Source organism: Homo sapiens, chromosome 11 (genome assembly GCF_000001405.40).
Source record: "Homo sapiens chromosome 11, GRCh38.p14 Primary Assembly".
In the NCBI taxonomy this organism is placed as follows: Eukaryota; Metazoa; Chordata; class Mammalia; order Primates; family Hominidae; genus Homo; species Homo sapiens.
The window spans coordinates 86,270,664-86,298,189 of record NC_000011.10 but is presented as its reverse complement, the minus strand read 5'-3'; the positions used below and the strand labels follow the sequence as shown (position 1 = coordinate 86,298,189).

At 39.5% G+C, this 27,526-nt stretch overlaps 1 protein-coding gene, 1 non-coding gene and 2 pseudogenes across 23 annotated transcripts in view, besides 1 other annotated feature; all 4 read right to left on the bottom strand.

The window, feature by feature from the left end:
* Window positions 2,444–3,485, bottom strand: SETP17 (SET pseudogene 17; annotated as a pseudogene).
* Window positions 6,029–6,323: a silencer, noted in NCBI's record as "tiled region #13347; HepG2 Repressive non-DNase unmatched - State 12:CtcfO". NCBI's record gives its function as "represses a minimal TATA promoter and a strong SV40 promoter by Sharpr-MPRA in HepG2 cells {active_cell/tissue: HepG2}" and the evidence as "EXISTENCE:reporter gene assay evidence [ECO:0000049][PMID:27701403]".
* Window positions 10,575–27,526, bottom strand: part of EED (embryonic ectoderm development) — a 42,863-nt gene continuing 25,911 nt past the window's right edge. For 11 of the 22 annotated variants that reach the window (NM_001308007.2, NM_003797.5, NM_001330334.2 and 8 more), the window contains 3 exons: window positions 21,052–21,210; window positions 20,199–20,272; window positions 19,380–19,791 (listed from right to left, as the gene is read on the bottom strand). In NM_001308007.2, the coding sequence (NP_001294936.1) occupies window positions 19,665–19,791; window positions 20,199–20,272; window positions 21,052–21,210 (360 nt within the window). In that variant the 3' untranslated portion in view covers window positions 19,380–19,664. Of the gene's footprint in view, window positions 14,171–19,379; window positions 21,211–27,526 lie in introns of those variants that run through there. The other 11 variants (NM_001440588.1, XM_017018512.3, NM_001440603.1 and 8 more) reach the window with 6 other exon arrangements.
* On the bottom strand, window positions 13,519–14,263 carry LOC100289518 (immunoglobin superfamily member 21 pseudogene; annotated as a pseudogene).
* MIR6755 (microRNA 6755) lies at window positions 19,792–19,857 on the bottom strand. The gene has a single exon (NR_106813.1). It is a non-coding gene; the product is annotated as a microRNA 6755 (primary transcript).

Sequence of the window (27,526 nt, the reverse complement as noted above, 5' to 3'; positions counted from 1 at the left end):
AACTGAGTCAAAATAAACCTCTTTTCTTTATAAATTACCCAGCCTCAGGTACTTCTTTATAGCAATGCAAATGGAGTAACACAGAAATTAAAGGACATCTAAATAAATGGGAAAACGTCCCATATTCATGGGTCAGAAGATTTAATATTGTTTAGAAGGCTGTACTCCCCAAATTGATCTACAGATTCAATGCAATTACCATCAGACTCCTAGCTGACTTCTTTGTAGTAAGTGACAACCTGATTCTAAAACTCTTAAGCAAAGGATCCAGAATAGCCAAAACAATCTTGAAAAGAACAAACTAAGAATATCCATACTTCCTGATTTCAAAACTTGCTACAAAGAAACAGTCATCAAGACAGTATAGTATTTAAAAGGCGGGGCAGGGTGGCTCATGCCTGTAATCCTAGCACTTTGGGAGGCCGAGGCTGGCGGATCACTTAAGGCCAGGAGTTCAAGATAACACACTATGGTATTGGCATAAGGGTAGACATATAGATGATTAGATTCAAGAGTCCAGAAATAAAACCATATGTCTATGGTCAACTTATTTTCAACAAGAGCACCAATACCATTCAATGGGGGGAAAGAATAGTCTTTTCAATAAATGATGCTGGGACAACTAGATGGCCACATGCAAAAAAATAAACTTGGATCCTTACCTCATAATATATATAAAAACCCAAAATGAATCAAAGATCTAGATATACAAGTCAAAACTATAAAATTCTTGAAGAAAACAGGGTTAAATCTTCATGACCTTAGATTTAGAAAAGGATTCTTAAATATGACACCAAAACCATGAGCAAGAGAAGCACAGTTTATAATCTCTACTTCATCAAAATTTAAAATGTGCTTCAAAAGATCCATGAAAAAACCCATAGAATTGGAGAAAATATTTACAAATCATATATCTGATAAGGGACTTGTATCCAGAATATTTAAAGGACTTAACAGCTCAATAAGAAGATAACACTGCTGGGCACGGTGGCTCACGCCTGTAATCCCAGCACTTTGGGAGGCCGAGGCAGGTGGATCACGAGGTCAGGAGTTCAAGACCAGCCAGGCCAACATGGAGAAACCCCGTCTCTACTAAAAATACAAAATTAGCCGGGTGTGGTGGTGCATGCCTGTAATCCCAGCTACTTGGGAGGCTGAGGCAGGAGAATCACTTGAGCTTGGGAGGCGGAGCTTGCAGTGAGCCGAGATCACGCCACTGCACTCCAGCCTGGGCGACAAAGCGAGACTCTGTCTCAAAAAAAAAAAAAAAAAAAAAAAAAAGAAGATAACACTAAGCTAAGAACATGAGAACAGTGGCACATGTCTATAGTACCAGCTACTCAGGAGGCTGAGGCAGGAGGATCACCTGTGCCTGCAAGTTCAAGGCCAGCCTGAGTAATATAGTGAGACCCCCATCTTTAAAAAAAAATAAGACAGCCCTATGTAAAAATGGGCCATGGGTTTTTATTAATTTCCTAGAGCTGCTGTAACAAATCACTGTAAACTGGGACGCTTAAAACCACAGAAATTTATTTTCTTATAGTTCTGGAGGCTAGAAGTTTGAAGTCAAAGTAGGTGTTGGGAGGGCCATGTGCCCTCTGAAGGCTCCAGAGGAGAATCTATTCCATGATTTTCTCCTAGCTTCTGGGCGTTGGCAGCAGTCCTTGGCATTCCTTAACCTATAGATAAATTTCAAATTCTGCCTCATTGGCTTGTTTCACATGGCATTCCTCACTGTGTCTCTGTGTTTCTTGTATGAACCCCAGTCATTATATTTAGAGACCACCCTACTCCAGTATGGGTTCAACTTAAATTGGTTACATCTGCAAAGATTGTGTTTCCAAAAAGGCAACATTCACAGGTACCAAATAGTCATGAATTTAGGGGAGCGGGGAGGGTCTATTCAGTCCTCTACTAATCTGAGTAGACATTTCTCCAAGTTAGATACATAAGTGGCCTATAAACATATGAGAAGATGCTGGATATCATTAGGGAAATGAAAATCAAAACCGCAATAGAACACTTTATACCCACTAGGAAGTAAGGATGTGGAACTGGAACGCTCATCCACTGCTGATGGGAATATAAAATGGTGCAGCCGCTGTGGAAAACAGCTACCATGTGACCCTGTGAACCTACTCCTAAGATAAAGAGAAATGAAAACATGTCCTCACCAAAACTTGTACATGAAGGTTTACAGCATCATTATTCATAATAGCTAAAAGGTGAAAACCCAATCTCTACCAACAGATGAATGAATAAATAAAATGTGGTATATCCATACAATGGAATATTATTCAGCATAAAAAATTAGAGTACTGATACATGCTACAATATGGATACACCTTGAAAATATTGTGCTAGGTGAAAGAAGCCACAAAAGACCACATATATGATTCCATCCATATGAAAGGAGAAATCATGTTGTCAAAATGCCCACCTTTGCTCAATATATTTCTCCCGAAAATGAGTTAGGGACCATGGTATGGAGAAAAGACCTCAACAACGGGGTGATTGAGCACAACAGCAAAAACACAAAGACTGCAAGTTGCTCCCAGGGATTGGATAAAATGTTTTAAAAGGAAGGTTGGAATCCATTGGTGTTCTGTTAGTCATCTTCTCCTTCATCTTCCTCTCCTTCCTCCCCTTCATCACCTTTATCTTCACCTTCATCCTCATCCCTGTCTTCATCTTCTTTTTCTCCTTCTCCTTCCTCATCATCCATTATTGGGAACCAAGTAATACTGTAATTGATTTGGCCAAATACCATCTTTGATGACCTTTCCTCATTCATCTGCACCTGCATCAGAATGGCCAGTAAGCCAGGTGAAGAAGCTCTCTGGTTCCCCATGCTGCCTCTTCCTGCTGGCATTATTCTGCATTTGACTTGCATTTTTCATCAAATCCTTTCCAGATTTCCATTTGATTTTAGTGAGTTTGAAGATGGAGCACCACTCTCATTCAGATGAAATTTTTTGGAGAGAACTTTATTTTTGAAGTCAGGATTTTTGTCAAAATAAAAACATTCTGTAACCTGGTTTAATATCTTCAAATTCTGTCACTTCAACACTGGTTAAATACGGCAGTGCCTCTTCATCCTCCTCCCCAAGCAGTGCAGACATTTGTGGATGGTTGACAAATGCTGTTACCCCAAAGTTTGGGATTTTGGCTATCAATTCAGACCTCATCTGAAAAAACAGTTGGCCGAGTTTGTTATATTTCTGTTCTGTTTTCAAAGTCTCCTCATTGGCTTATTAAGTCTACTTCATTTTGTACTTCATCAATATGTTCAGTTGCTTCTTGCTGTTCTTTTTCTCCCTTCTTCAGCAAGCCCAGACAGACTGATGTCTCTTCCAGCCTCAAGGCAGAAGGTGCTCTTGGTTTTTTCTTTTGAAGCAGAAATAGAAATCATGGGATTTGGGGGGCCATGTTGTGTGGAAATGCCAAAAATGAGACCACAGATCTCCTTGCCCCTCAGGAAGAAGCTCAGAAAACCCTAATATTATTGTTTTAAATCACAGCATCACAACCCCTGAACTTTTGCTACCTAGAACAGTGTAATGAAACCATCAGTAACAGTTATACTAGTATAAGAATTTCAGCTCAGAGTAGACATATTGTTGATTTGAAACTTTACAAAGGATAGTTCTCTCTTGAAGGCAGATCTAGGTAGCTTTCCCTGTTACTCTTACCACCTGTGATAAATTGCAAAAGTGTCACAAGTTCTTTCCCTACCTGGGTCCATGCCCTTGCAATGTGACTTTGAAGCTCCTCCTCTCAAGAGATGGAATCTATTTCTTCACCCTCTTGGCCTTCTTACTTGATTTGACCTAAAGAATGCAGCAGAACTGATAATGTTCCAGTTCCAAGCTTAGGTTTCAAAACTACTTGCAAGCATCTGCTCTAGTCCTTGTAAGTTTGCTGATTTACTACAGGAATAAGCCAAGGAGAGCCTGCTGGATAAGTAAAGACACCTGGACTCATTTCCTCAGCTAACAGCCAGATCCCATGAGCAAAGCTACCTAGCTGACTTGCAGCTGACCACAGTCATGAGTAAGTCCAGTCAAGTCCAAAAGAACCACCCAGCTGAGCTCAGCCCAAATAGAATCATGAGTTAAATAAATTGCTGTCCTAAGCCATAGAGGTTGGAGGTGTTTTGTTCAGCAGCAAAAGCTAACTTCTTTGTAATTCCTTCATCATATGAAAAAAAATTTTTTTTTTTTGAGACAGTTTCACTCTTGTTGCCCACGCTAGAGTGCAATGGCGCAATCTCAGCTCACAGCAACCTCTGCCTCCCGGGTTCAAGTGATTCTCCTGCCTCAGCCTCCTGAGTAGCTGGGATTACAGGTGCCTACCACCATGCCCAGCTAATTTTTTGTATTTTTAGTAGAGACAGGATTTCACCATGTTGGCCAGGCTGGTCTCGAACTCTTGACCTCAGGTGATCCACCCGCCTTGGCTTTGCCCAAAGTGCTGGGATTACAGGTGTTAGCCACTGGGCTCGGCCCATGAAAATAATTTTTATGTATTAGTTTCCCTTTCCTATAGCAAATGCTGGTAGATGTCTATTTAACATCCACTTCTTCCCTTCTTCCTTGTTAACAGAACCCCAATTTTGTCCTGGCATCCATCTCTCCTCTCTGTGACTCAGAAGCCCCAGGGGAAGCCCCTATTTTAATCAACAATTTACTCTTCTCTTTGCGGTGATTGGTTTAGGATCAGCCCCATAACCTGAAAGGAAGTGTTCTGGGAGCTTCTGAGAAAAGTGTCTTCATTGTAAGAAGGCCACAGTAAAAAATTAGTCAAGTGTTGTGGCACAGGCCTGTAGTCTCAGCTACTCAGGAAGCTAAGGCAGGAAGATCGCTTGAGCCCAGGAGGTTGAGGCTGCAGTGAGCTGTGATTGTGCCACTGCACTGCAGCCTGAGTGACTGAGTGAGACCCTGTCTCAAAAAAAAAAAAAAAAAAAAAAAAAGTTACACAGCCAGGCATAGTGGCTCACGCCTGTAATCCTAGAAATTTGGGAGGCTGAAGTTAGAGGATCTCTTGATCCTAGGAGTTCAAGGCTACAGTGAGTTATGACTGTGCCGCTGCAGTGAGTTATGACTGTGCCGCTGCAGTGAGTTATGACTGTGCCGCTGCAGTGAGTTATGACTGTGCCACTGCACTCCAGCCTGGGCAGCAAGTGAGACCCTGTCTCTTAAAACAAAATAGAAAAAGCCATACAAAGAGATGATCACTTTCTGTCTCTGTACTTTGACATATCTGAAGGTGATACTTGGAGTTGTAGCAACCATTTTGAAACTTCAAAAGGAACAACCTGAGGCCTGTGAGGTGGCTCACGCCTGTAATCCCAGCACTTTGGGAGGCCGAGGCTCAATCACTGGAGCCCAGGAGTTCAAGACCAGCCTAGGCAACATGGCAAAAAAAAAAAAAAAAAAAACCAAAAATTACCTGGGTGGTTGGCACATGCCTGTAGTCTCAGCTACTCAGAAGGCTGAGGTGGGAGGGCCTGGGCCCAGGAGGCGGAGGCCCTGACCTGGGGCCAGGAGACAGAGGTTGCAGTGAGCTGAAATCACATCACTGTACTCCAGCCTGGGAGACAGAGTGAGACATCTCAAAAAAAAGAAAAAATAATAATAATAAAGGAACAACCTGAGGAAAATGCCAGTACAATCAGAAAGGCAGAGAATGAGATGAAAATAACTTGTCTTTATTGATGTCTTGTGCTGTTGAATCAACTAGCCCTAAAGCCTATCCTACCTTTGTACTTACAGTTATGTGAGATAATATATTCCTTATTGCTTAAGCCAGTTTTAGTTAGCTTTGTTGTTACTTACAACTGATGTTATAATTAACACAACATCCACTAGAATATAAGCTCCAAGAGGGCAAGGAATGTGTCTATTTTGTTTACTACTCTGTCTCCAGTGTGTAGTCCAGCACCTATCCCCTAGCAAACATGTAATAGTTATTTACTGAGTGACTATAAGCATATTATATCAATCATCATTTGTTAAGTACGACTGCAACTGACACTTGACTAGACAGCATAAAGATCTAATTAGGGAGCCTGACTACTCTTGACTGTGAGTCAGTTCTTCAAGAGAACTTTACCTTTGCTTTCCACAATCTGGCATACAGTCAACCTCTACACATTTGGTGACTAAATTGACCAATGTCACAGAATTTTGCCAACTCTCCAGCAGGGGGTGCCCATAACCAGGTATTCTGGGCTCTGGGAAGTTTTTGGTTTTTTTTGTTTTTTTTTTGTTTTTTTTTTTTTTGCTCCTCAGCCCCTCCTTTGCTGCATTGCCCTTCATCTTCCCCCGAACCCCTCTTGGAGCCAAGGAACACAGCAATGCAAGAAAGCTCAGAAGGGACTTTTCAATTTTCGGAAACTCAGTGTCTGTCCTATCCCAGCTTCCAGCACCTGTTAGAGAGGGCTGAGAATATGCTTCTATGATCAGAGGATGCTCTCTTAGGTCAGGGTTAAGCAAACATTATCTGTAAAAGGTCAGATAGCAAACATTCTAGGGCCATAAGGTCTTTGTCCTGTCATGCCCTTGTAACACAAGAACTGCTGAGCCAAGCATCCCTGCAGCCTTTGTACTTCTGGCTATGCAAGATCTTGTATTCCTTTATTACTTAAGCCAATTTTAGTTTGTTTTATTGTTACTTACACCTGAAGATATAATTAACACAACTGTCCACAGCTAGACCATATAAGCTTCAAGAGGGCAGGTAACTTAATAAGTAAGTAAATAAAAGCATAAGCAAAAGAATGGGTGTGGGTGTAACTGTGTTTCAAAACAAAAATTATTGACAAAAACAGACAGCTGGCCAGGTTCGGCTAACCACTGCTTTAGGTGAACAAGGCATTGCCTAGGTCATTGGTTTTCAAACTTGAGGGTGCATCAGAATCACTTGTAGGGCCTATTGAAACACTGATGGCTGGGACTCACTTGAGTTTCTAATTCATTAAGTCTGGGCTAGGGCTGGAGAATTTCAATTTCTAATAGTCTTGCCAAATAAAATATAGAATTCCCATATATCAGATTCTTGAATTTCAGATAAACGATGAATAATTTTTAGTATATGTATGTCTCAAAGATTTCATTATTCATCGTTTATCTGAAATTCAAATTTAATCTGGCATCCCTAAATCCCTAAATCTGGTAGTCTTAGACAAGTTTTCAGGTGATGTTCATGCTGCTGGTTCAGGAGCCACAATTTGAGAAACAATGGCAATATAGTCTCATACATAAAGTTGCCTTGCTAATTCAGAAGTCTTGAGTTGGAGTGAAGTAAATACCCATCAGTCTAATACAGGATTTCTGCACGCTCAGTCTGTATATGTGAACAGGTACCTACTTGGTTCACAAGTTTTAGGTTTGCCTAGATACTTTATGCATTCGTTTTCAACAATTACGTATTTGTTGTACACTTACTATGAATCAGACAGAATTTACTTCAAATTTCAACCCTGTACATAAGATACTAGGCAAGTTTTTTAACAACTCTATTCCTCAGATTCCTCATCTGTAAAATTGAGATGACAATTTCTCCTTCATGGGGTTGTTGAATGGAAATGAAATAACATATATAAAGAATTTACCACAGTGCATGGTAAAGAATAAGCTGGTCAGTACTCAACTAATAGTGTAGCTACTACTATTGAAAATACAGGCCAGCCACGGTAGCTCATGCCTATAATCCCAGCACTCTGGGAGGCTGAGGTGGGTGGATCACCTGAGGTCAGGAGTTCGAGACCAGCCTGGCCAACAAGGTGAAACCCTGTCTCTACTAAAAACAAAAATTAGCTGAGCATGGTGGCAGGCGCCTGTAATCCCAGCTGTTTGGGAGGCGGAGGCAGGAGAATCGCTTGAACCTGGGAGGCAGAGGTTTCAGTGAACCAAGATCGTACCATTGCACTCCAGCCTGGGCAACAGAGTGAGACTCCATCTCAAAAAAAAAAAAAAAGAAAAGAAAAGAAAGAAAATACAGTAATTCTCCAAGTGTGAACCCTGGAAAGTGTGGACCCTGGGCCAGCAGCATCAACAGACCTAGGAACTTACTAAAAATGCAAATTGTCTGGCCCCACGCCAAACCTACTGCACCAGAAATTCTAGGATGTTGCACAGCAATCTGATTTATCAAGCCCTCCAGATGATCCCAATGCATGCTAACATTTGAAAAACACTGCTGAAGAAAACATAAGAGGCTGTGTGTGTATTGGGGCTAAGAATACTGGGGCAAATGGGGCACAAATCTTCCCCTTCTTTTCCCAGGACAGTTTTACATAAGGGACTAGACCTAGTGGTGTTCCAGCATGCCTTCACCTCCCCTATACTCTCTTCTATATAGCCTGAAAATCATCAGAAATTCACTTAAGCAAAGATTGTTTAGCTGATTTTTTCATTCATTTGACATTTCTTTGAATGTCTATTATGAGTCATATAGTGTGTTAAGCAACGGGCATTCAAAAAATAAGGAAAGGGCCAGGCGCGGTGGCTCATGCATGTAATCCAAGCACTTTGGGAGGCCAAGGCGGGTGGATCACCTGAGATCAGGAGTTCGAGACCAGCCTGACCAATATGGTGAAACCCCGACTCTATTAAAAATACAAAAATTAGCTGGGCGTGGTGGTGTGCACCTGTAGTCCCAGCTACTTGGGAGGCTGAAACAGGAGAACTTCTTGAACCCAGGAGGCAGAGGTTTCAGTGAATGGAGATCGTACCACTGCACTCCAGCCTGGGCGACAGAGTGATACTCTGTCTCAAAAAAAAAAAAAAAGGACGGGGAGGGGGGAAAGGCTCCTGTTTGAAGAGCTCTTAGTCTGGCACTGATTTTAGAGCATAGGAAACCACAAGATGTGTGCATTTCAATGAGATGCTAAAATGAGCAGGTCATTAAAGGAGGTAGAAGAGAGGCAGTAACTCAGAAAGGCAGAGCCCTTTCCAGAGGACATTTGTTTTACAAATATTAACTGAGCCCAACATCATGCATGTAGAAAGCAGCCTGACTACCTGGAAAGCCTCTACTACCAGGAAGGCAGCCTAGCAGGCTGCCTGTTCTAAACCTGGCAAGGCCACCAGAAAGAGGCATCAGACAGTGAGGGGCCCTATCAAATCCTAGTCTGTTCACAGCTGGCGTCTTGGATGTACTGGCCTTGATTATGGCCCAGAAGACTAGAAAGCACAGCCACAGACGAGAAGAGTCCTGGCAGAAAGCTGAGTCAGGCCCCAGTCTGGGACAGGAACTGCTAAATCCTAGACACAGAAGCAATTCAATAGGCGGCAGAGCTAGTGACAATTCTCTACCACTCCCACCCGTAACCTTGGACATGGGTTTGAAAGACACCAGTTAGTAACAGTGAGAAAATTTCAAGTTGACTGTGGAAAGTTGGGCTGGGCTGGGCTGAAATCAACTTTATATAATTATATCTACTTTGGGCTGTTTTGTGTTGTGCCCAGCCAATATAAAATTGCAGTTTAGCAAAACTTTTGAGAGTTTATTATTAAAATACTCCCTAAATGATTATGGTACATTCACTCTTTTCACATGTGGGAACCACTGCATAATAAAGGTCTATATAGGGCCATCACTAATACAGTGCTTTGCACACCTGGCCAATTAAATACATGAATAAATGATTCTCTCCTGTCTACTAGGAGCTAACATTTTAGAGCAAAGGCAAAAAAGTATTTTGAAGGGTCCTTCACAGAGAGTTTTGACTTCCCAAGGGTCACAAACTCTGTATTTCAGCCAGATTTACTCAGGGATTAAGGGGAATAATGCAGAACTCTTACATAAGTTATTCATTTTATTATTTTTCATTAGAGTCAGGGTCTCGCTCTGTCACCAGAGCTGGAGTGCAGTGGCGGGATCATGGCTCAAGGCTCAAGCGATCCTCCTGCCTCAGCCTTCCAAGCAGCTAAGACTACAGGCATGTGCCACCACACCTGGCTAGTTGTTTTTTGTAGAGATGGAATCTCGCTATGTTGCCAGGGCTGGTCTCAAACTCTTGGGCTCAAGTGATCTTCCTGCATCAGCCTTCTAAAGTGCTGGGATTACAGGCCTGAGCCACCATCCCCTGCAGGTTGCTATTCAGAACTGGGATTATTAAGACAATTTGCAACCAGATTCAGTAAGATAAGCCAAGCCTTTCTTATATGAAATATTAACAGTTTAAAAAGTGATTTTGCATGGCTGAGCGCGGTGGCTCATGCCTGTAATCCCAGCACTTTGGGAGGTCAAGGTCGGGAGTTCGAGACCAGCCTGACCCATATGTAGAAACCTCATCTCTACTAAAAATACAAAATTCAGGCATGGAGACGCATGCCTGTAATCCCAGCTACTCAGGACGCTGAGGCAGGAGCATCGCTTGAACCCAGGAGGCACAGGTTGCCATGAGCTGAGATTGCGCCATTGCACTCCAGCCTGGGCAACAAGAGCAAAACTCTGTCTCAAAAACAATAAATAAATAAAAAATAGTGATTTTGCAATGAAGAAAAATAATGGCCCATATAGCACAGGGTGTCAGTTCAGTGCCATACACTTCTTATGATCAATGATTTTCTGGCAACCCAGTTTATTGGTTTCGGAATTAAACACACACACTTCCCTCACTCATTATGCAGAAATGTAAGAGAAATCACCCAACAATTTTTTATTCCACATCAGCCTGGGGTACCCAAGCAAGAAAGGCAAAATGAATCTGCTTTCATTCACATGAAGTCTTGCTCTACATCAGAAAATAACCATGAAATACCAAGAATCTTTGTAGAAATCCACCAGCTCAATTCCAAAGTGATAGTCATTTTCTATAAATCACAACAGGGGAAACCCAGAGGTAACCACTGAAAGCAGGGGAAGTTACAGACTGTGGTCTCTGGTTAAAGAGAGGCCATTTAGCACTTTTTACTTATGGTTGTATTTCTCACAATGTGGGCCCCACTTCCACTACCCTTGGTAAAAGCCATCTAGACTCATTTTCCCTAGGTTACTGTGTTTCACACTGCAGGCTGAGATCCATGGGCAGGTTGTGAAATCAATTTAGTGAGTTACAACCAGCATTACAAAAAGAAAAAAAAAAAGAAATAGAAAATTTCAGAATGCATCATATTAGTAAGTATATTGTTTCATGGGACTTTCTATATGTGTGTATGATTGGGTTATTATGTATAGTCTATTTCTTTTTTTTTTTTTTTTTTTTTTTGAGACGGAGTCTCGCTCTTTCGCCCAGGCAGGAGTGCAGTGGCGCTATCTTGGCTCACTGCAAGCTCCACCTCCCGGGTTCACACCATTCTCCTGCCTCAGCCTCCCGAGTAGCTGGGACTACAGGTGCCCACCACCGTGCCCGGCTAATTTTTTGTATTTTTAGTAGAGACGGGGTTTCACCGTGTTAGCCAGGATAGTCTCGATCTCCTGACCTCGTGATCTGCCCGCCTCGGCCTCCCAAAGTGCTGGGATTACAGGCCTGAGCCACCGCACCTGGCCTGTATAGTCTATTTCTTACTGTGGGTTGCATTAAAAAAAATTTAAAACCTACTGTCCTAGATGATACCTTGTTCAAGCCTGAAGATGCAATTAAGCAGAATGACTGTCCCCTTTGCCTCAAAGGAGCATTTCAATTCTTTAAGCACTTCTGGAAAAAGTGACCATCATTTCTTTAGACTTTTGCCTTTCTCAGGCATTTGCTTAAAGATAATTTTAAAGTCACTGAGTTTCTACCAGCCTTTTTCCAGTATTTTGTAGTAGATGATATACTCAAAGCCACCTCTTATTCCTTTCTCACCCCATTTTTTTTCCTTCGAAACACCCCAAGACTTCATCCTATTTGTCATCTCAGCCAGGCACAGTGGCTCACGCCTGTAATCCCAGCACTTTGGGAGGCTGAGGCGGGCGGATCACTTGAGGCCAGGAGTTCCAGACCAGCCTGGCCAACATGGCGAAACCCCGTCTCTACTAACGATACCAAAAAAAAAAAAAATTAGCTGGCTGTGGTGGCACACATTTGTAATCCCAGCTACTCAGGAGGCTGAGACAGGAGAATTGCTTGAACCTGAGAGGTGGAGGCTGCAGTGAGCCGAGATTGCACCACTGCATTCCAGCCTGGGCGACAGAGCGAGACTCTGTCTCAAATAAAAGTGGAGTTACTTTTGTGCAGAGTTTCCACTCCCCTGGTAAGAACAAAATACTTGTGTGTATGAGACACAAATATCAATTCTGTAATTTCTAATTTCACATAAGAGGTAAAGGCTCTTATGTTTGTATTTAAAATGATCATTACACCAGGCCTGGTGGCTCACACCTGTAATCCCAGCACCTTGGGAGGCTGAGGCAGGTTGGATCACTTGAGGTCAGGAGTTCGAGACCATCCTGGCCAACATGGTGAAACCCTGTCTCTACTAAAAATACAAAAATTAGCTGGGCTTGGTGGCGCACGCCTGTAATCCCAGCTACTCAGGAGGCTGAGGCAGGAGAAGCTCTTGAAACTGGGAGGCGGAAGTTGCAGTGAGCTGAAATCACACCCCTGCACTCCAGCCCGGGCAACAAGAGCGAAACTCTGTCTCAAAAAAATAAAATGATCATTACACAATATGAAAATGAATAATAAAATTCATGCTAACAATTTTACTTTACTTAGAATGGCATTAAGTAGCAAAATTTAAAACCACGACCAGTTGAGAAATTGTTAAAGGATGGAAAAAGCTTTATAGTTAGTACCTTTAACCTAATTTTTCCTTTTAATTTTTTTTTCTTTTTTTGAGACAGGGTCTTGCTCTGTCACCCTGGCTGGATTGCAGTGGTGTGATCACAGCTCACTGCAGCCTCAGCCTCCTGGGCTCAAGTGATACTCCCACCTTAGCCTCCCTAGTAGCTGGGACTACAGGTGCACACTACTCCACCCAGCTAATTTTCAAATATTTTGTAGAGACAGCGTCTTGCTATGTTGCTTAGGGTGGTCTCAAACTCCTGGGCTCAAGCAGTCCTCCTGCCTTGGCCTCCCAAAGTGCTGCGATTACAGGCATGAACCACCGTGCCCAGCCTTTTCTGTTTTTTGGTTTTTCGTTTTTGAGACAGAGTCTCACTCTGTTGCCCAGGCTGGAGTGTGGTGGCACAATCTCAGCTCACCGCAACCTCTGCCTCACGGGCTCAAGTGATTCTCATGCTTCATCCTCCCAAGTAGCTGGGATTACAGGCACATGCCATCATGCCTAGCTAACTTTTGTATTTTTGGTAGAGACGAGGTTTCACCATGTTGGCCAGGCTGTCTCAAACTCCTGACCTCAGATGATCCGCCCACCTCAGCCTCCCAAAGTGCTGGGACTACAGGCATGAACCACCGCACCCGGCCCAAGGAGTTTGCCTTTTCATTTTGCACTGGGCCCTGGATATTACATAGCTGACCTTGTCTTCAGGACTAGGAAAAGGACCGATAGAATCCTGTGTTCCTTTTGAATTAATCTACATTTCTTTGACAACAAGCTGGACATAGGCTTCATGAAGTACAGGGGGCTCCAGGAATACTTTGTTCTGAAATCCAAGAATCCTCACTGTATCCTTTACCCAAGCTCTGGCATATGTCATCATGACTTTGGTTCCCTTGGGGCAAAGAGCATACTTTTGGCCTGAATGGACATTGAGTGTGGGGGTGCTTAACACCTCTGAACAGGTCTTGTCCACTTTTGAGTTGGAGGGCAGGTCAGCTAGGTGTGCACTTCCAAAAGAGCCCTCACTGTCCAAGGTGCAGTTGTAATCCAGGAAGGAAATGAGGTCCATGATGTGCCACTATGTGGAGAACTCACAGGTTATCACAACACTGAAACTCTTGATGAATGATTACTGGAGGAGGGAGTTTACATCGTGTCAGGCCCTACACTATGGAGTGTAGGGATGCCACCCTTGGTTCCCATTGTCCAAAAACAAAACCCAGGAACTTCCACATCTTACTGTCCTTCACATTGGTGTGGAAGGCTTTGAAGAATCTGCTGTCCTGATGAGCGCCTTGTCTCACCACAAAAGGCTACAACAGGGATATGGCATCAATTGGATCCTCATCCAGCTTGAAATAAACCGTGGAAGCTGCTTTTCCTCAGGACCCGATAGAGGGTGAAGTTCTGGGCTTGGTAGAGACTGAAGCAGACTGGCACATCAGTGGTCACGACTGCAGTCAAAGTGGGAGACACGATGGTAAGGAAGATGCCAGAACCACCTGCTATTTCTCCTAGCTCTATCATACATGCCCACATGGCACTCAAGTATCCTGGTAGCAAGTAAGATAATTACCTCTTCAAATATTTCCTTCACTTCATTCTCTTTTTTTTTTTTTTCTGGATCTCCAATTAAATATATTGTTAGATCTTTTCATTTTATCCTCTATATTTCTTAACCTCTCATATTCTCCATTTTCTTGATTCTCTGTGCCACATTCTGGTAATTTCTACAGATCACCTCCAATTCACTAATTTCTATTCAGCTGTGACTAATCTAACCCGTCCGTTGAATTTTTTACTTCAACAAATGTATTTTTCATTTGTAAAAGTTCTATTTGTTTCCCTCTCATATTCACCTCGTCAGTCATCATAGCCTCTTACTGTTAGCTTATTTTTATGACTGTTTAATTCTGACCCCTGTTACATGAAAGGCACTGCTCTAGGTGCTGGGGTTATAGCAGTGAAATAAAAACCCTGCTCTCATATAGACTACATCACAGTAGCAGAAGAAATACAATAAACCAAATAAGCAAATTACGCAGTATAGTAGGTGATAATTGAAATGGAGAGTAACAAAACAAGGAGAAAGTACAGAGAGGAAGGAGAGTTGCAATTTTAAAATAAGGTGGCTGTTTTATATTACCTGAAAATTGCAATATCTAAAGTCTTTGGTGGTCTATTTTTATTTATTTTTTTATTTTTTATTGTTTCAACCCTCAGCCATAGAGCTTGCTTCATTGTCAATCTGGTGATCTTTGATTATAAACTATTCGGTTGACTTAAATCTTCAACAACTTTAGGGGCCTCCTTAAGACTTATTTTGTTTGTTTTGCTTTAATAACTAGTATCCACTGAAGGGGTTATCAAACTATGGCTTGTGGACAGAATCTAGCCAACTGCCTGTTGTTTGTTGTTCTTTTTTTTCCCTCCTGCCTCAGCCTCCCAAGTAGCTGAGAATACAGGCATGCACCATCATGCCTGGCTAATTTTTTTTTGTATTTGTAGTAGAGGTGGGGTTTCACTATGTTGCCCCGGCTGGTCTTGAACTCCTGGGGTCAAGCAATCTGTCCACCTTAGCCTCTCAGAGTGCTGGGATTACAAGCATGAGCCACTATGCTCCACCACTGCCTGTTTTGGTAAGTAAAGTTTTATTGGTACACAGCCATACCCAGTTGTCTACGGCTGCTTTCGCCCTACAGCAGCAGAGTTGAATAGTTATGACGAGACTGTATGGCAAGGCCTAAAATATGTACTATCTAGCTCTTTACAGAAAAAACACCCTGATCTGCAGAGATAATATACAGGAAACTAGTAACAACAAAACTGGAATGGGTACTACCATATGTGTTGGGGCAAGTGTAATTTGGTACAAACTTAATAAGAAAGAAATATCCTATCTAATTATAAAATGAGCCTGAGAGTTACACAAAGACTTGTGTACTGGCCTGTTATTCAAAATACTACCTATAATAGCAAAAATCTGGAAGAAATGAACATGTCCAACAACAAGGCATTAAATAGATAATGGTACATTCATGGAAATGTATTAAAAGATATGCAAGCAGAATAATCTGTTAAGAATTACTGGGAATCTGAAAATGCAGCATATAAACAATATATTCAGACAATCACAATTCTTTAAACTTACACACACAAAATACATCCCATCACTAAAAGCAATTATTTCTGTGTACAAAAATTAAAGGTAGTTTTTACTTTTTTCTTTATACTTCTAAATAAACTGCATATATAATTTAGAAATTACTTTTTAAAGGGTGAGCATGGTATTGATATTTTGTTTAAAGTCTTTCTTGGAAATATAGAGTAAATTTTTACAGTTAAAATAAAGTCTGGGATGTGCTTCGAAACAATCTGGTGTAGATGTATAGATAAATCAAGATTGGCTATGTATTGATAATTGTTGAAGCTTGACTTGGTTCATAGTATTCACTACTCTCTTCACTCTTCTATATGTTTGAAACTTTCAAGTATAAAGTTAAGAAAAACAACCCTGTCTTGTCTTTTCGGAAACATAATACTCAACATATCAAAGCTGGTTTTATCTTTCCTAAGACACTGTGTAAGAAATATACTGGACAATTATTGGGTCAAAAAAGAAACTACAAGAGAAAATGAAAGATGTCTTGAAAGCCTGGCACAGTGATGCATGCCTACAGTCGTAGCTACTTGGGAAGCTGGGGCAGGAATGGATCACTTGGACCCAGGAGTTCGAGGGTGCAGTGACAGCTATAACTGCACCTGCGAATAGCCACTGAACTCTAAGCCTGAACAACATAGCAAGACCCCGACTCTAGAAACATATATAAAGATACCTTGAGACAAATGAAAATGGAAACACATGTCAAAACTTATGGGATGCAGCAAAAACAGTTTTAAGAGGGAAGTTTATAGCATTAAATGCCTGCATTAAAAAAGATCGCAAACCAACAACCTAAACCTCAACACCTCAAGGAACTAGAAAAAGAACAAACTAAACCTCAAGTTAGTGGAAGGAAATAACAAAGATCAGAGCAGAAATAAATGAAATAGAAAATAAAAAAATGAAAAAACAAAAAGCTAAACAAAATTGACAAACCCTTATAGCAACACTTAATAAGAAAAAAAGGACTCAAATCAGAAATGAAAGAGGAAATATTACAACTGTTAATACACCAAGTCTCTCATCAAAGAAAAGCCCAAGACGGCACTTTTCTGTTTCTATTAAACATTTAAAGAATTAATACCAATCCTCACATTCTTCCCAAAAATGAAGAGCAAGGAATACTTCCAAACTCATCTTACGAGGACAGTATTAGCCTGATACCAAAGCCAGACCAAGGACACTAGCAGAAACAATATCCCTGATGAACGTAAATACAAAAACACTCAACAAAATAATAGCAAACCATCATCTTCAGCAATACATTAAAAGAATCATCCACCATGACCATGTGGGATTTATCCCTGGGATGCAAGGATGTTTGAACATATGCACATTAATAAATGTGATTCACCATATTACCAGAATGAAGGACAAAAACTGTACATTATCACAATAGAGGCAGAAAAAGCATTTGACAAAATTCAACACCCTTTCATGATAACTCCCAACAAAATAGGTATAGAAGGAATGAATGTTCCTCAACACAATAAAGGCCATGTGTGACATGCCAATAACTAACATCATACTCATTAGTGAAAAGTTGGAGGCTTTTCCTTTAAGATGAGGAACAAAGTGAAGGATATATTAGCCCAATTTGCTCATTCTACATTGTATACATGTATGAAGCATCACATTGTACCCTATAAATATACACAATGGTCAATTAAAGACATATATATAATTTCTTCTTGGTTTCTATTTCCTGATACAACTTCTAAGACCCTTGAGAATATAATTTCTTCTTGATTTCCATTTCCTGATATAACTTCTAAGAACCTTGAGATCACTTGAGTGAAAATAATGTGTTTTTGTAGGCTAATGAGATAACTGGTGACTGGGGCCTCTGGATAACATCCATTAGGAAAAGAGATGTTACTTCCTTAGTATTTCAGGGAAAGGAGAGAGGGCAAAAATAGAGTATAAACATGTGGCTGATAACTGGCCTGTGAGTTCTGACTCCTGGATCTTTCATTATCTGCACTAACTTTAACACTCGATATTCTAGCCTGGTCAACATGATAAAACCCCGCCTCTACTAAAAATACAAAAATTAGCTGGGCATCGTGGCACACACCTGTAATCCAAGCTACCTGGGAGGGTGAGGCACGAGAATCACTTGAGCCTGGGAGACAGAGGTTGCAGTGAGACGTCTGAGACCGCACCACTGCACTCCAGACTGGGCAACAGAGTGAGACTGTCTCCAAAAAAATTAAAAAACAAACCTCAAGAATGGAGTAGTGAATAATACATTTCTACGGACCAAAAGGAAAGATGATATTCTCACCCAGTTAATCATGCAACAGGAAGGATTTCATTATGTGGTATTTTGCAACAAGAACCTAGGCAATCTCATTTTGCTAAAAGGATATGACAGTATTCCTTGTCTTTTGTGATGCTGTACGTAAGAATTTACTTGCTATAAAGGTTTACTTCTTGAAGTTCCTATTAAAATTTCTAAAAAACAATTGAAGCGTTCATTGGACCAAGACAGTAAAAGGCAGTAAGTTTTCCTGTTTATTCAGACTTAAGCATTATACTATTATCAGAGAAGTAAACTGTGCTTCAGAGATAGCTCAAAAAGGGGCAGTATCAAACACTGTACAAGATATCAAAACTAAACTTTAAAAATATACATATTTATAGAAACAAGTTCATGAATCTTTTTAAAAACCTGACAAAATTCAGTCTTTTGTATTTTTCTCTGGCTCACCTCATTTCACCTCCAACCTTAGCTTTATGATCATTCAGGCTTTCTTCACTCCTCTGCTTCAAGTTAACCCCTCCACATGTGATCTTGGTCTTCACTCTTTAGGGAATTTTTGCCCACAAATAAATGCAGTGTGCCTTATGTTGGAGACAAAATAACCAACTATTCCCAACCTTATGATCTCAATCTACTTAATCCCTCTTAGCCAGTAACATCCTTCTAGAAAAGGGGCAACAACTCACTACATGGACATACTTGCCATCTCTTTCATGATCCAACCCACTGCATTTAAACTTCTATATCCTCTCCTCCTTTGCCCTAATGATATCTCCTCTAAGGTTACCAATGGCCTAGTTCCAAATCTAATGGCAGTAATATTTTTTAAACTATAAAGAAAGGTTACAGTTAAACATTATCAGAGGTTCTAACTCTGTAGAATTTTAAATATTACTTATGAAACTATTACATAAGAAATCATTAAAAAATATAAAACCATAGGAACTATAATCTCCAATAATTATAAACACAGAATACATTTAGGGCTTATTATATGTCAAATACTGTTCTAACTGTCTCACACATAACGAATCATTTGATCCTCACAATAACCCCAAGGCAAGTATTATTATCCCTGTTTTATACACAAGGAACCAAGCATTGAGAAGTTGTTTATCCAAGGTCACGTAGTAGGAGAGCCAAGATTTGAATTCACTTTAGTTCTAGAGCCTATACTTAATCTCTGTATTACAAAACTTTCTCTGGTTAAGAGAACTACAAAAAACAACCATTATAAAAAGATAAGGCATAATTTTATTACTTTTAACTTTTTTTCACCACAATGAAAGTAACTAAACACACAGCTTTACAAAAATAAATTTTTATTAAAAGCAGTAGAGTCTGAGCAGGAAGACAGTACAAAGAATGTAAACAATGTAAACATCACTACATTCAGCTCAGCCTGATTGAATGCTGAAAGACAACTCTAAATGCTCTACGTGCCCTTACTAGCAAGATACATTAATTCTATTTTACACAGACAACAAACACACTCTAATTTTGATTAGGCAAAAGTATTTTATCGAAGTCGATCCCAGCGCCAAATACTGGCATCATCACAAACAGCTATAAGAATGCTGCTATCCCTGCTAAAACTGGTTTGTCGAATAGCAGCACCACATTTATGATGAGTCAGTGTTGTACATCTAGGGAAAAAACATGACAACAGGTTAAAGACCACACATAACGTTGTCAGTGTCTACCCTAAAACAGCGGATTAGAAAATAAGCAGATGTTCCAAGTCATACGAAAAGCACTTAAAACCAGAATATACTTCACTAAGAGCTCAGTCTCAAATTTTATAAAATTTAGATATATTTTAAGTTCAACAAGCACTACATAATTTGTATAAAAACAAGAAATGACTTGTCACCAAGGTACTTAGGAAAAACAAAAATTATTGGAATAAAAAAGAATAACTTTAACTCTGAAAACAGTAAATGTTAAAAATGACTTAAGGATGGCACTGCAAATATAAATGATCTTCTCTACATTGGCATACAAGTGTGGAGAAAAAGCCTGAAATTTTGAACAGAAATTTCTAAATACTTACTTGGCTTTATGAGGATCTTCTACTTCTAAATCCCAAACATAAAGTTTGCCAACTTGATTGCCCAATGCAAGCATCTGTATAAACATATTTTTAAAAACATCAAATTAATAAAATTACCAGGTTCTAAAGCATTGGAGGAATCCTCAGACAGCTTTCTTGTTTCAGAAAAAGCTCAGTTCCAGCCTCTGTGCTCTTGGCTATTTCTTTGGGTCTTATACTCCTGATTCGTAAATATGAATAAGAGCAATTAATACATCACAAGTGTCTTGAGCAAGTAAGAAGGCATTGTGCAAATTTATGAAGGGCCTTACAAATTTACATTGTTAGCATGGTACTTACTTTTTCTTCTGCCTTCAAGAAATACAGCAAATGCTGTGGAAAGCCTTCCAAACTTTTCTTACAGAAATAAATACCCAAGTAATTTGTTACCAGAAAATCCTAACAATAGATTTATTTAAATTTTTAGGTAACTAGTATTTTATCTGTCTTCTATCCTGATTTTTCTCTAGGAAACAGTTACATAGGTAGACTGACAATCTAATTACTAAAACATTAAGTCTTAGTAATGTTATGATAATGTTTATGTTATGGAACATAAACACCTAATTTCCACCATTGATACCTAACTGCCAACTTAATTTAAAGTAAGCACTGCAGATCATATGCAGAGCCACAAAAGTAGAATGAATAACACCAAAGTATTTGATGAATGACATCAAAGGGCAAAGTAATCAATACAAAACATCAGGGTAGATTTGTAAAGGAAAAAGAACATGGACACAACAGAAAAAGCTAGAATTACAATGGTCTTTCATAAGTCAGATCATTTCAAAATGTAAAAGTATGTTGATACCTTTTGCCAGAAATCCATAGAAAACCTCATGTACCAAATGTCACACTGGCTGTAATCAAATCGCCCAAGAATAGTCACATTAGATTCACTGGGTTTAATTTTATCTATATCATCTTCCATCTTGCCAGGTTTCCAGCACACAATGGCATTTTCACAAGACTAAAACAGAGAGAGAAATGAGAAAAAGAAATGTTAATGAGGAACTGAATCTTACAAAGTAAAAACAAGGCTTTTCTATTGTTTTGGAATTCACAGCTCTTAGAACCTGGTTAATCCATCTATCAAGTACAGTGATGTACATTCATTTATATTTACAGTCAATGACCATACTTAAGGACAAGAAATCTGATTATCAACAGAATTCGATAATACAAAAGAATCACATTGTCTGAAATATTCATTTTGGAAGTCAACATTTCTCTTTCAAGTTAAACCAAGTTCAGCTCTAGATACTCTGACACCCAGAGACTTTAAGTGTTTTATAGCACAGGTCAATTACAAACACACAGAATTAGAATACATGGCTTTTCAGAATCCGGCATTAATCTGGCTCTTGCTTACTTCACTAGTTTCATCTTTCCCCATGCAGTCTCCCATTTCGCTTCTAATCACAGGTGGTTTCCTTTACCTTATTAACTATTATTCCTTCATCCAGTATCTGTGCCACACAGTAGGTACTCAACAGGTATCTTAGGAAAGTTGATGAACTCACATAAATAGCCTTAGAATTCAGTTTATAAATAGGGCAATCGAAGGCAAGTAAAGCAGTTGTTTAACATCAAGACACTCATATGGGGATAGGATTGAAATAGGCTTCAAACTTATACTTTTCCTATCCTATAAAATCAAATTTGTATGCACATACCTAAGCAGTAAGTGGTAAAGAATACAATGAGAAAAAATTGCAAAACTGTGGGCACTATTCATATTACTGTCTAGGTCAGTGGTTTGCCCACGAAGGGACATTTGACAATGTGTCTGTGCTCTAATGGGTAGAGGCCAAAGATGCTACTAAATATCTTATAATGCACAGGAAACCCCCTACAAAAAAAAGAATTATCTGGCCTAAACTAAATAGCACCAGGATTCAGAAATCCTCATGTAAGTGAACAGTGCCCCTAGAGTTTTACTGGACAGCCTACATAATATAGTGACAGGTGGCAGCCCTGTGGGGTTCACAGGCATTTAAATAATTTAATAGTATGGCCACTTGAAGATTAGGGAGGAGACAACACATTTTTCTTCTCTACCTTTTTTATTTAGACTTTTTAAATCCTAGTGCTATATGACATCTATTATTCAAGTTTTTAACTGTAAAGGACCTTAGAAACCACCCAGTGTGATGACTCTTGGCTAAATGCAAAATTGGATCAATAGTCTGTGGAGTTTTCTCAAAAGACTCATCTCAGCCCCTACTGATTCAGAGTCTCTCAGCCCCTACTGATTCAGAGTCTCTAAGAGAAAGGCCAAAGCAGAAGAACTGTAAAATAGCTCTTCAAGTGCTTCTTACTAACTGCACCGGTGAAGAATTTTTAAGTACTGGAGTCCCTGGATGGAAAAACTAAAGCAAAGTGAGGTAAAAAGATGTTGCCAGAGCTAATGGATGGCTGCACTTCAAAATCATCTAAGAGCTTTTTAGAACTACCAATTCCCAGGGCCTTGCGCCAGATTTAGAATTTCTGAAGGTGAGGTCTAGGAAATCTATTTTTCTAACATTCTCCTAGTGAGTCCGATGCAGAGCCAGATTTGAGACCACCAATATATTTCAGTTCAGCCTACCACCTAAAATTCAGAAATCCTTTCCAGAGATCTAAGTTCTAAGAGCAGAAATTTTAAAAAGCTAATAGCTTTTTACTTCTGCTGGTGGAACAATGTAGCAGATGTGTTTTTTCCTGTAAGTCCACTTAAAAGTCGGAGTATCATACACAAAGCAAACATAAGACTTGGAAAGGTAGAGAAAAGGCAAACAAGTTAGAAACCTTGGAACACAAACGATAACCGTTGAGTTTCCCGGGTTTTCTTTTGCCTTATGTATTCCAGACTAGATAAGAGAGAAGGCAGCAACTCACAAATGCTAATGAGTGAAGACAACAACAACAACAACAACAATAAAAGCCTGCTTTTTCTAGCCAATGAACCAAAAAAAGTAGCAGCCTAACAGGACAAAATTTTCAGACAACAATGCTCTACTCCAGCCAAACACCCTAGAAAAATCTGTGGACCCACCTCCATCTGAACCAGTGAAAACCCATGCTCAGGTTGTAACTAAGCACCCCAAGTGCCTACCCCATGACTCTCCCTGTACCTCTTATAGCAATGGGGTGACCCGCCTCCTCTCGGGCTAGGGTGGTATCAGAGGAGGCCTAATAGAGTTAGGACATTCATAACCATTCATTGGTAAAGCCACCACCAACTACCCAGAGTGTAAATGGAGACCACTAGGGGGGGCAGTAATTAGGCATCCTGGCCCTTCCCAGCTAGGGTGGTATCAGCTGAGGCCTACGGAGAGCCTTAACTCCCACCCCGACTGAGCAGTAATGAAGCACCAACACAAGGTCAACCGAGTGGGGAACCCAGACTTCCACCCCAATCTGGCACAACACAATGCGCCTCCCTTCCCCAGCTGAAAAGGTATCAGAGAAAGCCTGCTGTAAGAGAAGATCTAAATAAGGTCCAGAGTCTCGTAATACCCAAAATACCCAGGTTTCAATCAAAAATCACTCTTCATACCAAGAATCATAAAAATCAACTTTTTAAAAAGACAAAAATCAGCTTTAAAAAGATAATCAATAGATACCAACACTGAGATAACATGGATGTCAGATCTGACATAGATTTAAGGCAGGAATATAAAAATGCTTCAATGAATGCAAACATACTTAGAATGAACTGGAAGTTTTATAACTAAAATATACTATTATAACCCAAATAAAAAACTCAATTGATGGGCTCAATATCAAAAGAGAAGAGGGTCAAGAGTCAGTAAATTTAAAGACAGTACAATAGAAATTACCCAATCTGAACAAAAAAAAAAAAAGAAAAAAGACAGTCCTAGGGACCAAACAAACGATCTAACATTCATATAATCAGAGTCCCAAAATGAGGGAAGAGAGCAGGGCTGAAAAACAATTTGAGTAATGGCTGAAAACTTTCCAAACCTGGGACAAAACATCAATCTACTACAGATTCTTCAAGAATGTCAGTGAACCCCAAACAAGACAAACCCAAAGAAATCCACATCAAGTCATATCGCACTCAAACCTCAAACTAAATATACTCATGCTCAATCTGAAAACTAAAGGCAAAGAAAACAATCCTGAAAGCAGTAAGACAGAAAGAACATCTTACCTACAGGGGACAAACAATTCCAGTGACAGCAAATTTCTCATCGGAATTATGGAGGCCAAAGAGGGAGCAAAAACATTTGTCAGGTGTTGAAAGAAAATAACTGTGAATCCAGAATCCTATATCGAGTGAATACATCCTTCAGAAATAAAGAAGAAATGAGGCCATGCTCTGATAAAGAAAAACTAGGAGAATCTGTTAACAGCAGACCTGCTCTAAAAGAATGGTTAAAGAAAGTTTTCGAAACAGAAAGAAAATTAATTAAGAAGATTTGAATTTATCAGTAAGGAAGAACAACAGAAAATGCAAAATGAGTCAATATAATATTCTCCTTTTCCTTTTGGGTTTTCTAAATTATGTTTGATGGTTGAAGAACAAAAAAACTGATATGGTTCTCAAATACAAATAAATATTTAAGACAATTATAAATGGAGAAGAATAAAGTGATGTAAAGGGAAGGAAGCATTCTAAATTTCACTCAAATGGCTTGTGCCCATAATCCCAGTCCTTTGGGAGGCCAATGCAGGGGAATCACCTGAGGCCAGGAGTTTAAGACCAGCCTGAGCAACATAGCAAGATCCCCACCTCCACACATTAAAGAAATTAGCTGAGCATAGTGGTGCATGCCTCTAGTCCTAGCTACTCGGGAGGCTGAATCAGGAGGATTGCTTGAGGCCAGGAGTTTCAGGCTTCAGAGAGCTAAGACTGTGCCACTGCACTCCAGCCTGGGTGACTGAGTGAGATTTTATTTCTGGAGAAAAAAAAATATTGTAAAATGCTGATAATATAGTAGACTAATGAGTTACTATAGAGAAATAAAAATGGAATTCTAAAAACTGTTCATGTAACCCAGAAAGTTAGGGGGGAAAAAACTCAGAGAGAAATGAAAAAGACAAAAAGAAAAATGGCAGACTTAAAATAATAACTGATATAAAGCTTAAATATAAATGGTCTAAATACACCAATTAAAAGACATAGGCAGAATAGATTTAAAAAATGACCCAACTATATCATCTACAAGAAACTTACTCAATTATAATATACATAGATTAAAAGTTTGAAAAAAGATTATGTAATGAAAAAAGAGACAATTCCAAAGACATAGCAATACTAAATGTGAATGCATGAACAATAGAACTGCAAAACGTGACAGAACTGAAAGGAGAAAGAGAAAAATCCACATTGTAACTGAAGATTTCAACACCTGTCTCTCAATAGTTGATAAAACAGTAGACACCGAACAAGGATATAGAAGAATTCGACATCATCAACCAATTAAACACTTATACAACATTCCACTCAACAGAGTACATATTCTTTTCAAGCTCCCATCAAATATATCTAAAATAGAGCCATAAAACAAATTCTCAAAAACTCAACAATCTAAGCTACCATCTTAAGAAACTGATAAAAGTTGAGCAAAATAAACCAACAGTGGCCGGGCGCGGTGGCTCACGCCTGTAACCCCAGCACGTCGGGAGGCCGAAGCAGGTGGATCACCAGGTCAGGAGATCGAGACCATCCTGGCTAACACAGTGAAACCCCATCTCTACTAAAAACATAAAAAAATTAGCCGGGTGTGGTGGCAGGCTCCTGTAGTCCCAGCTACTCAGGAGGCTAAGGCAGGAGAATGGTGTCAACCCAGGAGGCGGAGCTTGCAGTGAGCCAAGATCGCGCCATTGCACTCCAGCCTGGGCGACAGAGCCAGACTCCGTCTCAAAAAAAAAAAAAAAAAAATCACACTAATTTTGCACAATCTCTTCTGGAAAATGGGAAACAGATCATTTGCCAATTCATTATAAAGTCAGTATTACTAATACCAAAACCAGAAAAAACAGTACCAAAAAAAAAAGTTAAGACCAGTATCATACCTCACGAATACAGACACAAAAATCCTTAACAAAATATTAGCAAACAGAACTCAGCAATACAAAAAATTACACAGGATGATCAAGTAGGAATGTATTCCAGGGTTCCAAGGCTGGATCAATATTCAAAAAACCAATCAATATAATCTACTATATTAATAGGCAACACAAGATAAACCATATGAGCATATAAACTGATGAAGAAAAAGCATTTGACAAAACACCATTCATGAAAAAGCTCTCAAAAATTTAGGAACAGGAAACAGTTCTCAACTTTCCCAACTTGATAGAGAATATCTACAAAACAAAACAAAACAAACCCTAATATACTTAATTGTGAAAGACTGAATGACAAGTCAAGAATATCTGTTCCTAACACTGCTATTCAACACAGGACTGAAAGTTCACCAGCGCAATAAGGCAAAAAAAGAAAAGGCATATAGATCACAAAGGAAGAAATAAAACTGTCCTTATTTGCAGATCACATGATAGTCTACAGAGAAAATCACAAAACACACCTTGAATATGTAGTCTAGCTAGGTCACAAGATTCAAGATCAATATGCAAAAATCAATTATATTTCTATATATTAGTTATGAACACATAAAAATGGAAAATAAAAATATAAAACAGTTTATAATTGCTTAAAAAATACTTAGGTATAAATCTAACAGAGCAAAAATGGGACTTATATGCTAAAAACTATAAAATGCTGATGACAAAAGTCAAAGAAGTTGTAAATAAATGAAGAGACATACCACAATCATGGATTAGAAGACTCAGCACAATATTAATTCTCCTTGAAATTATATATACAGGTTTAATACAAATCCAGTTAAAAACTCCTTCTCCTCAAAACAACTCCCAGCAAGATTTTTAGAAATGTAGAAAAGATTATTCTAAAATTTACACACAGAAAGACAAAGGAATTAGAATAGCTCAAAACAATTATGAAAAAAATAAAAGCGGGAAAAATCTATCAGATTCCAAGAATAATTATAGAGCTACAATAATGAGGACTGTGTATGTAGTACTGGTGGAGGGACAGATATACAGATGAAACAGAACAGGAAAATCAAAAACAGCCCCACGTAAGTACAGCCAAACAATTTCTGAGAGAGGTGCAAAAGCAATTCAATGGCGGAAGAATAGTCTTCCAACAAATGCTGATGGAACAACTGAGTATCTATAAGAGAAAAATGAACTTCCACCTAAACCTCGCACCTTCATAAGGAAATCAACTCAAAATGGATTACACATTT